A 16422-nucleotide genomic window follows, 5' to 3' on the forward strand; every position below is an offset into this window, starting at 1 on the left:
CCCTGCCTGTTGGCTGCAAAAGCAGTCTTTACAGACAGCACTGTGATCCCAAGTGATCCCTCCCTGGCAGCCTGAGTATAGTGGTATTGTTGGTATTAATCTTATAATATTAATAACAGTGAAGTAGGCAGTGTCCTACATACTGTACAGGCATTACCTCTTTCTTTTTTTTTTTTTTGAAATGGAGTCTTGCTCTGTTGCCCAGGCTGGAGTGCAGTGGTGCGATCTCGGCTCACTGCAACCTCCGCCTCCCAGGTTCAAGCAATTTTCCTGCCTCAGCCTCCTGTGTAGCTGGGATTATAGGCGCACACCACCATACCTGGCTAATTTTTGTATTTTTAGTACACATGGGGTTTCACCATATTGGCCAAGCTGGTCTTGAACTCCTGACCTTGTGATCCGCCCACCTTGGCCTTTCAAAGTGCTGAGATTACAGGCATGAGCCACCACGCCCGGCCGGCATTATCTCTTCAAATCCTCAAATCAGGCTTTGATGTACTTTTTATGCCTATGTTACCAATGAGAAAGGCGGAGACACAGAGAGGTGGAATGGGCCCTAAGGGGGTGATGTAATGTAGTGGTCAGAGCACAGGCTCTGGAACCAGATAGAACCATTTAGGTCACTTACTAGCCATTTGGCCTAGGCAAGTTACTTAACTTCCCTGTGACTCAGTTTCCTCCTCTGCAAAGTGGTGCTGACGGTTGTATCTACCTTGTAAGGTCACTAGGACAGTGTTTGACGTGAAGCCCGATCCATGGTAGCTCTGTGGCTTCAGAGGGTAGGTGCTGTTATCCTTGTTCTACTATTTTACATTAAAATAGTAAATGATTCAGTGCATAAAGTACACCCTATGCACATGACAAACATCACAAGTGACTAAGAAACTTTTCATCCACAAAATTTCAGGCCCATTCTGAATCCTCTCACTCTGGCTTCTGCATGCCTTGCCAGGTAGCAAGTTCAGCTGGGCATCATCTTCTGTTCTTTGTATTAAGGACGTAATGGGAGTTTTTGTTTGTTCCTGGAAGAGCCATGGACATTCTGATGGTGAATATTCTTTTATAAAACTTAGACACACTTCCCTGCAAGAGATCCTTAGGTGTTCCCCAACCTAGTTCCAAAAATCACTGCCCCTAGGGCCGGGCGGGGTGGCTCACCCCTGTAATCCCAGCACTTTGGGAGGCTGAGGCGGGTGAGAAACCAGGAGTTTGAGACCAGCCTGGCCAACATGGGGAAATCCTGCCTCTACTAAAAATACAAAAATTAGCCGGATGTGGTGGTAGGCACCTGTAATCCCAGCTACTCGGGAGACTGAAGCAAGAGAATTGCTTGAACCTGGGAGGCAGAGGTTGCAGTGAGCTGAGATCGTGCCACTGCACTCCAGCCTGGGTGACAGAGTAAGACTCTGTCTCTAAATATAAAATAAAATAAAATAGAATAGAATAGAATAGAATAGAATAGAATAGAATAGAATAGAATAGAATAGAATAGAATAGAATAGAATAAAATAAATAAAATAAAAAAAATCACTGCCCCAGACTGGGGGAAATTGATCCTCCCTAGACATCCAGATGGGCAGGCTGGCCAGTGTGGGGCCAAAAGGAAGAAAAAAAATCCAACTGAGACTAACGGCATCGAAAAGGCAAGGTACAGACCTAAAATGAGTCAGGAACTGCCCCCTCACTCATTCATGCCCCCTGTCTCCCCACAGCCTCTGAGCCCTGGGGAAGGGGTAGCTGGGTTAATTTATTTCTGTAGCACCAGCACCTGGCAAAGGGCCCAGCACAAAGCAGGAGATTGGTGAATGCTGAATAAAGGAACCAGCAAATGAATGAATGAATGGCATAGCTATTTGGGGAAAGATATAGAGTATAAAGCTATAGAGAAAAGAAGAAAGGAGAAATACAGTGCTGTCCATTCTCAGCTCCTTACAAGTGCTGAATAATCTCTACATTCTGCTGTGAAAGATCTAGAAAGACATATTGCTAAGTGAAAAAAAGAGCTAAGTATACAACAGGGTGTGGAATCCTTTATCTTTGTGTTAAAAAACAGAACAATAAGAATATACATGTGTATTTGCTTATATATTAATAGTTGTACTTGTGGTATAGGCAGATAAGAGGCAACTTAAGAAACCAGTCACTGGCCTGTAATCCCAGCACTTTGGGAGGCTGAGATGGGTGGACCACCTGAGGTCAGGAGTTCAAGACCAGCCTGGCCAACATGATGAAACCCCATCTCTACTAAAAATACAAAAAATTAGCCAGGCATGGTGGAATGCAGCTGTAATCTCAGCTACTCAGGAGGCTGAGGCAGGAGAATCCTTGAACCCAGGAGACAGAGGTTGCAGTGAGCCAAGATCATGCACTGCACTCCAGCCTGGGTGACAAGAGCGAAACTCCGTCTCAACAATAACAACAACAACAACAAAAACCAGTCACTGTGTTAGGGACAGTCAGAACATGGGGGGATGGGAAAGAGGAGTTACAGGGAGACTTCACCCTATATGCCCTTTATATATTTTGTAAATTTCTAAATCATGTGAAGTTAAAAAATAAATCAAGAAAAGGAAAACAAAAAAATAGAAAATTTCTGCTCCAAGAAAATGTTGAGTAAGATCTACCTGGCTTAATGGCTGAGGAGGGAAGGGAGCGTGCAGTGAATACCTAGTTACAGCCCATCTTCTCAAGGAGTCAGTATAATTAAGGGCTTGGAGTTCTCCAACCTATTGATCTTGGACCAGAAAACATTAGATGAATTCCCAGGGGCCTCGAGCTTTCCGAAGTTGTTTCTCTAAATTCCACATCTCTCTTGTTGATAGCCGGTAGCCTCTGAACGCTCCCACGATGGCTGAGGGGTACAGTTGGTGTGGGCTATTGGGACTAGAGACGTTAGGAAAGACCTCATAGAGGGGCTGGAGACTACCCTGGGGTGGAAGGGGAAGAGAAGCCTAAAGGCCTGGATACAAAAGGCAAAGGAGGCAACAAAAACAACAACAACAAACAAACAAAAAAAAAAAGAAAGAAAGAAAAGAAAAAGCAATATTGTCCCTGCTTTCTCCTTGTCATCTCTCCCTAAGACCCACCTCCTGAGAAACATCACAATATCCAATATCTTGTAGAGAGACTTCTATAAGCCATGACATTGGGGAAGGCGTAATCACTCTGACATCAGGATTACATTTGTAATTGACAAATGTGGGCTGGGTGCGGTGGCTCACGCCTGTAATCCCAGCACTTTGGGAGGCCAAGGCTGGCGGATCACTTGAGGTCAAGAGTTCGAGACCAGCCTGGCCAACATGGTAAAACCCCGTCTCTAGTAAAAAACTACAAAAAAAAAAAAAAAAAAAAAAAAAAAAAATTAGCTGGGCGTAGTGGTGCATGCCTATAATCCCAGCTACTTGGGAGGCTGAGGCAGGAGAATCACTTGAACCTGGGAAGTGGAGGTTGCAGTGAGCCCACATAATGCCACTGCACTCCAGCCTGGGTGACAGAGCAAGACTCCATCTCAAAAATAAATAAATAAAGACAGACAAATGCGGAAATAGCACAGATGCTTTCAGGGAGCAGTGGACGCTGAGAGCCCCAGCACAATGGGCTGGGAGGACCGGGGTAGGGGGAAGTCTACAGAACTGCACCTAGGGTCAGAGTTGATTCTGGAGCCAAAGGAAGGAGCCAGCAGCTGGATGTGGCTGGCCCAACTCTGAGGGGCTTGGGTGCTGTCCAGGCACAAGAATATCTCCTTGTCTTTGGGATCTAGACTCAGAGATCCCACAGTAGGAGGCCTGTGTCCTGTAGAGGGACATCCTCTATAGGAAGTCTTTGATGAGCACATTCATTTGGCTTTTACACCTGAAAGGCCTCCTAACCTTTTGATGACCTTCGTGTTGATAGACAAAGCAGCCCAGGCTGTGAGTCCCCAAGAAGAAAACCCCAGCCCTGGTCTGCAGCTGCAAGGATCAAGGGCAGAGGGAGGTCTCCAGCAGGCTGTACAAAGCTCAAATAATTTTGAGCACTGCCCTGGAGCCTGGTGACAGGCTGGTCCAGGCCATGGCCTCCTGTGCCATCAAATGCCCTTTTCTTAACAAGGTTTCCTCATGCTAGGAACAGACACTTTTCTTTGGCCTGACCTCTCTCAGGGGCTCCTGCCTTGCGTACCCACCTGTGAGTACCACCATCCTTTTAGGCTGAATATGGTCAATGTTGATAATAATAAGTATACCAACAGCAATAACAATGTTATCAAAATTGCCATTTACTGTGTTTACTAAAAGGCATAGGACTTTACCCACATTATCTCATTTAATCCTCACAACAACCCTATGAGGAATGTACTATTATTGACCCATTTTATAGACTGAGAAAAGGGCACAGAGAGGTAAAATAACTTCTCCTGGGTCTCACAGCCAGCAGAGGTAGTGCTGGGATTCAAATCAAAGCAGTCTGACCCTAGGATGGGTTCCATTAATGGCGATGTGACACCAAGCTCTTGTTGGCTTTCTTCCCCAGTCGGCCTTTCCTCCCAAACTCCCTGCATCAGATGTGGCTTCTCTGGGATCCCTGTCATTGGCTGTGGAACCTCAGAATCACCTCTGATACGTAGTTTGGCTTTGGTGACAGACAGATATGGGTTTGAGTCTTGACTCTGGCTCTTGTTGCTGTGTGGCCTGGAGGAAGGTGATCCTGCTCTCTGTTTCTTGGTCTCCAGGTGTGTGAAATGATCTGGCAATATCTGGTGGGCTTCTGTCATTGTCTGTCCAGTGCCTGTGCTTACTCTGAGAACTCTCTTCTCATCCCCATCCACAGGGCCATCATTGGGTTGCCACAGTCTTATATGACATTGACACTGACATTGACTCTGACTATAAGACTGTGGCAACCCAGCAATTGCATGGTTTTTTGTTTTTGTTCTTGAGATGGAGTCTCACTCTATTGCCCAGGCTGGAGCACAGTGGCGCAATCTCAGCTCACTGCAACCTCCATCCCCTAGGTTCAAGCAATTCTCCTGCCTCAGCCTCCTGAGTAGCTGGGATTACAGGCATGTGCCAGCATACCCAGCTAATTTTTTGTGTTTTTAGTAGAGATGGGGTTTCACCATATTGGCCAGGCTGGTCTCGAACTCCTGACCTCAGGTGATCCACCCACCTTAGCCTCCCAAGGTGCTGGGATTACAGGTGTGAGCCACCACGCCCAGCCAATGATTCCATATTTATTGGAGTTGGTCGGTGGGTGGGGGTGCGGTGCTTGATTTGAGCTGGCCACAGTCCTTCCCCAGGACTTTTCAAGCCAAGCTTATGACAAACAGCTAGTTCCACTCCAGCAGTAATAACTATGAGATGGGAAGCTTGGAAGCGGTTAGCATCATGTTTACTTCAATATGGAAGAAGTTCACAGCAGAAGAAAAGATGACATGCTGAGAGCACAGAAATGAGAAGAGAGGGGTCTCTGGTCCTGGCTGTCCTGAGGCCATGCTCCTGAGGTCTGCCCCTCCCATAATTACCTGAGACCACAGCATTCTTCCAGTAATGCCCTGTTGAACCTAAGCTGAGGTTGAGAATACATGAGGGGCACTTAGCACATTAGATGGAAAAAGTAAGCCCTCAATAAGTGGTAACTATTATGACTATTTTTTTTTTTGAGGCAGTGTCTCTCTGTTGCCCAGGCTAGAGTGCAGTGGTGCTATCTCAGCTCACTGCAGCCTCCACCTCCCGGGTTCAAGCGATTCTCCTGTCTCAGCCTCCCACGTAGCTAGGACTACAGGCGCCCGCCACCATGCCTGACTAATTTTGTATTTTCAGTAGAGACAGGGTTTCGCCATGTTGGCCAGGCTGGTCTCAAGCTCCTGACCTCAGGTGATCCACCCGCCTCGGCCTCCCAAAGTGCTGGGATTACAGGCATGAGCCACCGTGCCTGGCCTATGATGACTATTATTAAGACAGCACAAGCCTGGGCAACATGGCGAGACACCCACCTCCACAAAAAATGTTTTAAAAATTAGCCAGGTGTGGGGCGGACGCCTGTGGTCTCAGCTATTTGAGAGGTTGAGGTGAGAGGATCGCTTGAGCCCGGGAGGTTGAAGCTGCAGTGATTGTGATTGTGCCACTGCACTCCAGCCTAGGTGACAGAGCGAGACCCTGTCTCAAAAGAACAGAAGAGCACAGACTCAGCTCAAATTCACACCTTTAGAGGCAGTCGATGGAAGGAGAGAAGGTTAAATTCTATTTTCTGTATACACCACTGTGAGCTGTGGGGAGTCCAGGAAGCCTCCTCGGGAGGAGCTTGAGAGGAGGGTGGAAGACATCTTGGCAGGGGCTGGAATGAGGAGACAGGTCTTGCTGAAGCAAAGAGCTGGACAGTTTGAGGACTCAGCCCCGCCTCCCCTGGTCAAGGCCCTTAGAGGCATCTCTATCTGTTCCTTGCTGTCAGCACAGTGGTTTGTCCACAGGCCTGTGGACAGCCTCCTTTATAGAAGCCTCTTGCTGAGCACCAGGATAGAAGGATGAGAAAGACGTCAGCCATACCCGCATGGATGTGCAACATGCCAGGGCAAAGCACAGAGGGTGGCAGGAAGACTTAGGAGGGGCATACCCAAAACTTGGGGAATCGAAGAGGGCTTTCTGGAGGGAATGACATCTAAGCAGTGACCTAGGAATGAATGATGATACTAGCTAATATCCATGAAGGACAGATTGCATGTGAGGTGTTTTAGATGTATTATCACCTTGAATGTAATACTCTCCGCCACCTTGAGAGGGAGGACTGATTATGCCCACTGAGCAGATTAGGTAACTGAGGCTCTGCTAGGTGAAGTGTTTCCTGGTCACACAGCTACAAAGCGGTGGAGCTTAGATTTGAGTTCAGCTCTGTCTACTATAAAGTGTGTTCTGGGGCCGGGCGTGGTGGCTCGTGCCTGTAATCCCAGCACTTTGGGAGGCCGAGGCGGGCAGATCACGAGGTCAGGATATCGAGACCATCCTGGCTAACATGGTGAAACCCCGTCTCTACTAAAAATACAAAAAAATTAGCCGGGTGTGGTGGCGGGCGCCTGTAGTCCCAGCTACTTGGGAGGCTGAGACAGGAGAATGGCGTGAACCAGGAAGCAGTGAGCTGAGATCATGCCACTGCACTCCAGCCTGGGTGACAGAGCAAGACTCCGTCTCAAAATAAATAAATAAATAAATAAATAAATAAATAAATAAATAAATAAAGTGTGTTCTGAACCACAGAAATGAGAGTAAATGAGAGTCAGGGTGGGAAGCAGATCAACCCCTGCAGCTGGAACTAAGGAGATCTAGTTGAGTTGCTGGATAGGAGGCTACTGAAGCAGGCAGGGGCTGGGACACATGAGGCCTTGCAGGCTGAGGGTGGGGGGAGTTTGTGCTTCATCTTGGGAGCAGCTGGATGACGGAAAAGGCCAGGGCTGGCTCTAGAACTCTACAAGGTAAGCATCCTGCCCACAGATGCAGACTGAAATGCTAGTGCATGAGCCTGTGGCCCATCCGCCCTGGGTGACAGGCTGCCTCCTGTGTCTCACCTGCCTGTTGCAGCCCCCCTCTTGTCCAGGCACTGGAGAGAAGGAGCCCAAGGACTCAGGCCCTCTTCATCTGGAGCGAGGAGCAAGCTGAGGATTCTCAGCCAATCACCAAGCTGTCCCTAAATGAGCCATAATCACCCCTGATTGCTCCTTTGTCAGGCCGGCTCTCAGAGCCACTTCCATCTGAGGCTGTGGGGAGGGGCCCTTCAGACCAACGTGCACTGCTGGTTTCCTATTTTAGAATAAACATGTGGGGGGCGGGGGGCTGGGCACCTCCTGAGCTCTCAGAGATCCAAAAGGCAGGCACAGATGAATGTGGGGGTGAACAGAACCAGTCCCCACAGTGGGCAGGAGTTTACAGCTGGTGAGCCACTTCTCTGGCCCTTGGGGCCAGATCATATCCCTATTTGATGAATGAATAACAGGCTCAGAGAGGGATTAGTGTATTCGATCACAGAGTGCAGACAATGGAGCCAAAGGACCTTTCATTCATTCATTCACTCGCCAAATATGTATTGAGCACCTGCTATGTGTCAGGCACTGTGCTGGGTGTTCAATATAAACCCAGACCTTTTCCGATCATGACAACAATAACAATAGCCAGAGGTTATTGAGCACTTACTAAGTGCCAGGTGCTTCACTACCTACATTCCATGTGATGTCTCGTCAGTCCTCCCACCAGCACTGTGAAGTGGAGTGATGCAGGCATGCCAATGGGGCAGGAAGGGTTTCTCTCTGTCTCCATCCCAAAGGTTGGCATATGCCAAAGGTGACTCACAAACAGTGGCATTTGAAGGAGACAGGAACTGAAGAGCTGAGGGGATGAGAGAAGGGGTCCAAAGAGGAGGGGTGGCTTCAAGGTGGTGACCACATGGTGACTGCAGGGGATCAGATCAAAGAACTCACGCTGCAGAGGGCAGGAAGCCCAGGGAGCTGATTAGGTACAGCCACAGATTGCACTGTATTGAGAGATCCTGCTTAACGCGAGTAAAACCCTCCTCTATGCCTTCCTTTGAATGCTGTGTGCAGCTCCCAGCTCTGACCAGTTTAACAATGAATGACCCATCCCTTCTTCCCCCCGCTGGGGCACAGTTCTAGGGTGATCATTTTTATCCCCATTTAATAGATGAGTAAACTGAAGCAGAGAGGCCGTGAGTCACCTGCCAAGGGTCACTCAACCAGCAATGGCAGAGTTGATTCCAGAGCTGAACCCTGAAGCAACGTCCGCCTCAGGCTGGTCCTAGACCCAGTGGTCATGAGTCTAGCCTGGGGACCCCTCGGTACTTGGCAGGCAGTGGATAAAACAACCTCAGCCCCTCACTAAGAAACAGCAAGCCCCTCCCCCTCCTGCATCTCACCCTCCCCACGGCCCAGCTCCTCTCAGAGCTATTAACCAGGTCACGCTGGCTTGTCCCAGTCCAATAGTTCCCTTAATTGCCTTTTTATAGCACGTCGTACAACTGTTCATTACGCTGTCATATTTCCCCTCGAAGGCAGCAGTGGGGGAGCCAAACTGAGGACGGGGACCCATCCAGGTGGCAGGGGCTGTGTGTGGGGCACCAATGTGTGAAGCTTATTTTCTACTTGGTCAGAATGAATTAAATGCATGCTTCTCACCCTTGAGTAATACAGGAACCACGTTTAAAGGGGAAAAAAGTCACAGCCCCCTGTCAACAATTGACAAATTATCTTTATTACAATTTTATGAAAATATGTACAGACAGAAAGCTAGCTCTACACAATTGGAAAAGCGGAGACAATATACCATTGCAACAAAAACAAAGCCTCAATATCAGACATTTCAAAAGAACACGAATAATTTAACGTGATGGATAGTGTGTAGGTGAAATGAAATCGCACTTGCACAGTGAATATGGTTCAGCATTTAGCCCCCCTCTGTTCTTTTGTCATAAGGCCCATAACAATTAAAGCAGTATTTGGTCATCCAGGAGACCTAGAATCCGCTGGTAGGTTTTTTAGATATAAAATAATATAATATAAAATTGGCCAGGCGCGGTGGCTCACGCCTGTAATCCCAGCACTTTGGGAGGCTGAGGCGGGTGGATCACTGCAGGTCAGGAGTTTGAGACCAGCCTGGCCAATATGGTGAAACTCCTCTCTACTAAAAATACAAAAATTAGCTGAGTGTGGCAGTGGGTGCCTGCAATCCCAGCTACTCAGGAGGCTGAGGCAGGAGAATCACTTGAAGCCAGGAAGTGGAGGTTACAGTGAGCCGAGATCGCACCACTGCACTCCAGCCTGGGCAACAGAGTGACTCCGTCTCAAAATAAATAAATAAATAAATATAAAATAATATAATATAAAATTAACCAATTCTGAGAGAGAGCTCTCACAGCCTAGGTTGAGAAACAATAAATGTGTCCCGGGAGCCTCTTTTTTGAGATGTAGTCTTGCTCTGTTGCCCAGGCTGGAGTGCAGTGATGCAATCTCGGCTCACTGCAAAGTCCACCTCCCGGGTTCAAGTGATTCTTATGCCTCAGCCTCCTGAGTAGCTGGGACTATAGGCACACACCACCAATTTTTGTATTTTTAGTAGAGACGGGCTTTCGCCACGTTGGCCAGGCTGGTCTCAAACTCCTAACCTCAGGTGATCTGCCTGCCTTGGCCTCCCAAAGTGCTGGAATTATAGGTGTGACCCACTGCACCAGACCAAGCCTTTATCAGCTGTGCAGGTCTAAGACATCCTATGGGGAAGAGCCATGTGTTCTTGGGGCTGGAAAGCCAGGATACAGGGCCCAGACCACTGAGGCCAGATCTCACCCAGACTTTAATGAAATCCACAAGGTCTTCCGAGAGCACCTACTATGTACCTGGCCCTATGCCTCCCACCTCCCTGTCCCAGGAGTTGCCTCAGTAGTCAAGAGGGAGACAGGGGTGCCTCAGAATAGATGTATATACCAGTCAGTGCAGGGAGCATTCTTGGGAACTGACACAAAGAGGTGTTTGGCCACGGGGAGTCAGATCTGGATTGCAGTGCTTCTCTGGAGCCCAGAGACCCAAGCCCTGCCCTGCAGACTCACCTAGAGTGCTGAGGTTATAAGGACAGCTCTGATCCTGGGTTCGACTCCTGAATCCGCCACTACCTAGCTGTGAGACCATGGGCAAGTCACTTAACCTCTTTACATTCCAGGGTCCTCACCTATAAACTAAACATAAAACCAACCCATGCTCATGGAGATAGTGAGAGGCTTGTCCATGATGTTGTGACACAGGGAAAGGAAGCACTTAGCTTAGAACCTAGCAGAGAATAAGCATTTGGTAAATGTTAGTGTTGATATCTTTCCCGATTCCAGCTCTCAACAGAATTTGAAGAGAACAAAAATGTCTAGATTGGGCTTTTAGGCTGGAGGCCATGGACTCACCATGGGTGGGCTTAGGGATATGAAACCTTGTGCAATATTGTGTGTGTGTTTCTAGAAGAAGGATCTGCAGCCTCACCAGATGTCCACGGGGGCTGTGACCTAGAAAAATCTTTGGTCGCTGAGCTAGGTCAGGGCTGGCAGAACCACTCAGTCTTAGCTCAGGCTGCCATGATAAAGTGACAAAGCCTGAGTGGCTTCAGCAACAGAAACACATCTTCTAACAGTTCTGGAGGCTGGAAGTCCCAGATCATGGTCCAGCAGGATTGGTTTCTGGGGAGGGCTTGCTTCCTAGCTTGTAGACAGCTGCCTTCTCCTTGTGTCCTCATGTGGCAGAGAGAGAGAGAGAATGAGAGTGAAAGAGAGACACAGAGAGAGAGAGAGTGAAGAGAGAGAGAAATCAAGAGAGAGGACACTCTAGTGTCTCTTCTTATAAGGACACTGATCCTATCAGATTGGCATCCCACCATTTTTACCTCATTTAACTTTAATCACTTCTATAGAGGCATCTCCAAATACAGTCACATTGAGGGGGAGGGCTTCAACATATGGATTTGGGGGTCATAATTCAGTCCATAGCAGTCAGTGAGATAGATTATTCTAGATCTCGGTGGAGGCAGGTTTTGACCAGCAAAGGCTGACCCTTGAGGCTTCTAACTAAAGCAAGGACCACCTGCAGCTCCCCTGGCCCCAGTGATCATCACTCCTCCCAACCGTCCTCTTCCCTGCTTATGCCCATCCAATTATCCACTTCTCCAAGTCCATTCCTGCAGGCCCTGCCTGCAGCCTCCTAAGATGACAGTGGGCTAGTCTCAGGATTGTGAGAATTTAAGGAAACAATCCTGAGAGTGTACTTTCAGCAGTGCCTGGCACACAGAGAGCACTCAGTAAAGGCGAGCTCTGCACCTAGAGAGTGTAGGAGGTCAGACACACAGCCCGTTTGCACTGCTGGAGCCCAGGATCCCTGTCCCAGGGTTTGCTGGAATCAGAGCCCCCAACACAGCTGTCTCTCCCAGTTATAACCAGTGACCCACAGATTCCTAGAGACCTAGAATCTGCTGGTAGTTTCTGAGTGTTCTTGCAAGGAATCCCTGAATCTGGATGTGCATCCCAAGGCTTAGATTAACAAAAATCACATCTCACACACCTATGTAGGACTGACTTTCAATTACATAAAAGATGATGTGAGCACAAAAGACAAATCCATTCAGAAGAGCTACAGTATTCATAATTCAGACCTGGATTTTGGCTGTTGTGTGTTTCTTCAGAGGGGGGAAATGGCTTTGTAACATTGACTTAATTCATCTCCATGAATGAGCATCTAATGTGTGCTGGGAACACAGTGGGGAATACGGCTGACATGCCCCTGCTTCCCAGCATAACTGAAGCTGTGTTCTCAGGAAAGGGCAGGAACCATTGGTCTAACCCACCAAGTCAGGTCCAGGGCCCCTCCTTCAGTTCTAGGTAGCTTCTGGTTTTAAAGGCTGCTGAGGGCAAGACCTGGGTCCTCATGTCTCCCGCTCTCTGACCCCTTCTCAGAGCTGTCAGCCCAGAAAGCATGAACCTTGAACCCCAGAAGTCATGAAATGCAGCCTCCCATACCCTGAGGCAGGACTTCTCTAGACCTTGTCTCTGATAGGACATCCAGCCTCTGCCTGGACACCTCTGGAGATGGGATGCTCATTATGTGTGCAAGGAAAACTGCTACTACATACACAGTCATGAATGTATTTTAATATGTCTTACCCTGAGCTCACAGGGGCAGCACCTACATGGTCAATGGCCCCACCTGATTTGTCCCATTGAAGGGAGAAGAATCAGGGTCTTTGTTCCATGCATAGGCTCCCACCTGGCTCCTCAGCCTTGCTGCGCCTCTCCTCCCTTGTGCCCAGGGACACAGCATCAGGAAATTGGGTTTTGATTTGGGGAAAGGTGAACATGGCTCCCTCCAGCTATAGGAAAACCTCACCAATGTCCCAGCCCCAGGATACTTGGGGGTGGGAGTGGTTTATGAAGCCAGTGCCTGTCCCCTCAGCAGGAAAAGACTTGCAAGGCTGACTTTGCTCTGGAAAAGGAGGGCTCTGAGCTACAGGGGAGGGGGAGGGGGCTATCTGTGATCATTCAGCCCCGAAATGATGCTCATGATGTTGGCTTTCCAGGCCATTAATTCAAGGGCTCCATGCCTCCCCTTCCCCCATGGTGCTGTCTGCTCTGGGAGATAAGCCCAGTTCTATTTAACCCTATTTATTCCCCCAAAGTGACTCCCATCTCTGTTAGCCAGGCATTTAACCCCCTGGGTACTGAAGGCATCAAAGGCAGAGAGATTGAGCTCATGTGTCAGGAAGGGGTGCGTGCATTTCACCTGGGCCCTGGCTTCAGGGAATCCGATCCAGGTCCTTCCTAATCCAAACTCCTCATCTGGAAGTCCTTGCTTCACAAGGCTTGGTGGAAGTCCTGAGAGAAGGTAGGAACCTGTGTGGCCCTGGCAGGAGAGACCCTCTGACACCCCCAGGTTGGGTAGCGACAGCTCCTGCTCTCTCCCCACATACCCTCCCAGTCCCTAGTTTCTTAGTCACAAGATCTGGGTTCTGGCATCAGCAAAAGAGAAAGGCTGTGGCATCTCTGCCTCTTTTGTGTCCCACTGGCTGGTGGCTGCATTCAGCAAGCCCTCTTCCATCTCCATCTCCCTGCTTGGTCCTTTTTACGTCCCCTGCCCCTTTCTGCCCTTTGTTCTCTCCTCTTTTCCCCTTCAGTGATCACACAAGAGTAGTCCTGACTACTCGTCTCGGTGTGTGTGTGTGTGTGTGTGTGTGTGTGTGTGTGATTTCTTGTGTCTGGGGGCTTGTCAGTGTGTGTGTGTGTTTACCTGTTCTTGCACTGCTGTGTGTCTGAGCCTGTTATCCAGGTGCCTCTGCCCATGCAGAGGGACCCACCAGTGTCTGTCCTGATTTCTTTGTGTGGCAGGCAGTCTTAGTACAAATCTTGCATGTGTCTGTCTGTGTGCTGGCCTGTTCATGACCTGTGTGTTGCTCTGTCAATGTATTAGAATGCTCTGTTCAATCTACTAGAATCTCTATGTTGTCCTCATGTTTTTGTACATCTATCCATCGGCTTGTCATGCTCTGTGTGAATGTATGTGTGTGTTGTGCTTCAACTCAGGGGACCAGTCTACTGCAAAATCCTCTCCTAGGGAACCCTTCCAGAGGAGCTATTTGGGAGAATTTGGAGGTTGATGGCTTCGCCAGGGCAGAGCCCAGCTCACTACCAGCAAGGGAAGTCATCCTGTTGGTCTCCTGGGCTCTTCCCTCTCCCTGCTCCTGACCTCCCTCCCCTTCTCTCCAGGTCAGCTTGCGACTGTGAGGAGCAGGGACAGAGAGCTTCAAAGACAGAAGAGCGTACATTCCAACTCACTCAACCCCCAGATCCAATCGCAGGCTTTTTCTTGTGCACTCCCATTTCCACCCCCAGCCCCACAACGAGAACTGGCTGTTGAGTATAGTCACTACAACAATCACAAAATAATTGCTATCACGTATTGGGCATGCAGCACCTGTTAAGCATTTCATATATGAGATCTCATTGAATTTTCTCAATAATTCTATGAGGCCGTTATTCTTATTTTCACATTTTAGAGATGAGGAAATGGAAGCTAGGAGAAGTCAAGGAAGTAGTCAATGTCATAGAATTAGTATGTGATGGGGTAGAATTATTCAATAAAGTGTGGGTTGTTTGAGAGTTTGCCACACCTGCCTTCAGCCTGGGAAGAGGCATTTATTACAAACAGCAGGAAAGGAGGGAAATATGGGAATTCCTTTCCCAACTGCTGGCATCTAATTATAGCCAGCGGGACTAGAATCTGATTTTGAATTTCATCTCTTTGGACAATGAGGTGGCCAAATACCAAACGACAACCAGGGAGAAATGATGTAAGGACAAGACGAGGTAGTGCAGGGCAAGGCATGCTGGAAAGAGCCTTAGGATTCCTGGGGGTTCTAGCCTGGCTTTAACCTGGATTCTGTGTGACCTTGGGCAGGACACTTCCTTGCTCAGGCCTGAGTTTTCTTGTCTGTAAAACTAGGATAAATGTGAGGTTCTGTTGGGATGTTTGGGGGAGGTTTAAACATTGCAGAAAGGAAAATTGGACTCAGGGCTTTCTAAGTTCCCTCCTAGACCCAAGAATTGGAGTGGGGAGTATAGGAAGAGACTATGCTTGTGTCATCTTGACAATTCCTGGAATAGCCAGAACAGAATCACGTGCACAGGAAGGGCTGTGAAAAGGTTCACTGAATGAAGGAATAAATGACCCCATCTCTCACTGATGAAAAAACGTCACAGCCCACTTTAGACTCACTTGTCAGAGAAGGCATCAGTGGCCATCCTAAGGTCTGGGTGTAATGCTGTGGAGGAGGCACTGGGGAATCCTACAAAGACCCAGCCTCTGCCCAGATCATCTCCTGTGGGCCAAAGAATTTCACCAGAAACAGAAGGGGAGAGGATGGCAATTAGGATGTGGAGATCTTTGTCTATAGGAATCTGTAGGGAAAATTCTCTCTCTCTGTCTTTCCTGTATCTGAGAATTGGGGTGGGCCGAGGCTCTCCGTATAGGGCAAATTTCGGATGGGGGATCGCTTCTATTTAGAAGCCTCCTTGGAGGAGAGGATCTCTGTGTTTGGAGGAAGAATCTCTTTCCTGTCTTTGTTCTGGGTCCTGTCATGACTTGGAGTGTCTGTATTTGGAGGACGGTTCTATAGAGGGGTCTTTTTTTGTTTTGTTTTTTGTTTTGCTTTGTTTTGTTTTGTTTTTTGGTCTTAGTAGCTGGAGGCTAAGAAGAGGATTTCTGTCTTGGTTTCCACCAGGCAGGAGCTAGGGGCTTTCCAGAGCTTCTGGGGAAATTAAGGGGGTACCTGGGGAGAGGTTAGGAGCATCTCTGTCCAATGTGGTGGAGGTTCCCTATCTGGAGAGAAGCCTCCTCCGGGAGACTGGGAGGGGCTTGGGATGGGAGGAGGTGGCAGGAGGCGGGAGGGTGTAGAGAGGGAAGCCTGTCTTGTCCTGGCAGCTCCAACTCTCTGGCCAAAGCCCTCGGGCCGCCCTACTTGTGCGCTGACGTGAGCTAATCTAGAAATACTGCAGAGAAAGAGTGGCTGGGGTTCCCAGGGAGAAAGGGCCTCGAGAGAGGGGAGATGGGGAGCTGCTTCCTTTTTTGTTTCCTTCGGTTTTTCCGTCCGCCCCCGCCCCCACTTCCAGTCACAGCCGCTACTTCTCCATTCAGGCTGGGACTGCCAGGTGGAGCCCTGCGGTTTACTGCTCAGGAGGAGCCCGGCCAGGACATCAGCTGGGGACTTACGCAGGGACCCATTCAGAGCAGCGGACCCTCACGGAGACTACTACAAAGGGACTAACACAGGCACGAACGCAGGCAACCCCATTCGGGAACACATACGTAATCCAACACACTAGCTCTGGCACACACACTGGAATGCGCGCAAAACCACACAGACACAGAACACA

General features: G+C 48.8%; 1 annotated feature.

Moving 5' to 3' along the window:
* Positions 7108-7609: an enhancer, noted in NCBI's record as "NANOG-H3K4me1 hESC enhancer chr20:37342659-37343160 (GRCh37/hg19 assembly coordinates)". NCBI's record gives its function as "activates a minimal SCP1, AML or CMV promoter by ChIP-STARR-seq in naive H9 embryonic stem cells {active_cell/tissue: H9 hESC(naive)}" and the evidence as "EXISTENCE:reporter gene assay evidence [ECO:0000049][PMID:30033119]".

The sequence above is a fragment of the Homo sapiens genome, chromosome 20, assembly GCF_000001405.40.
Source record: "Homo sapiens chromosome 20, GRCh38.p14 Primary Assembly".
NCBI lineage: Eukaryota > Metazoa > Chordata > Mammalia > Primates > Hominidae > Homo > Homo sapiens.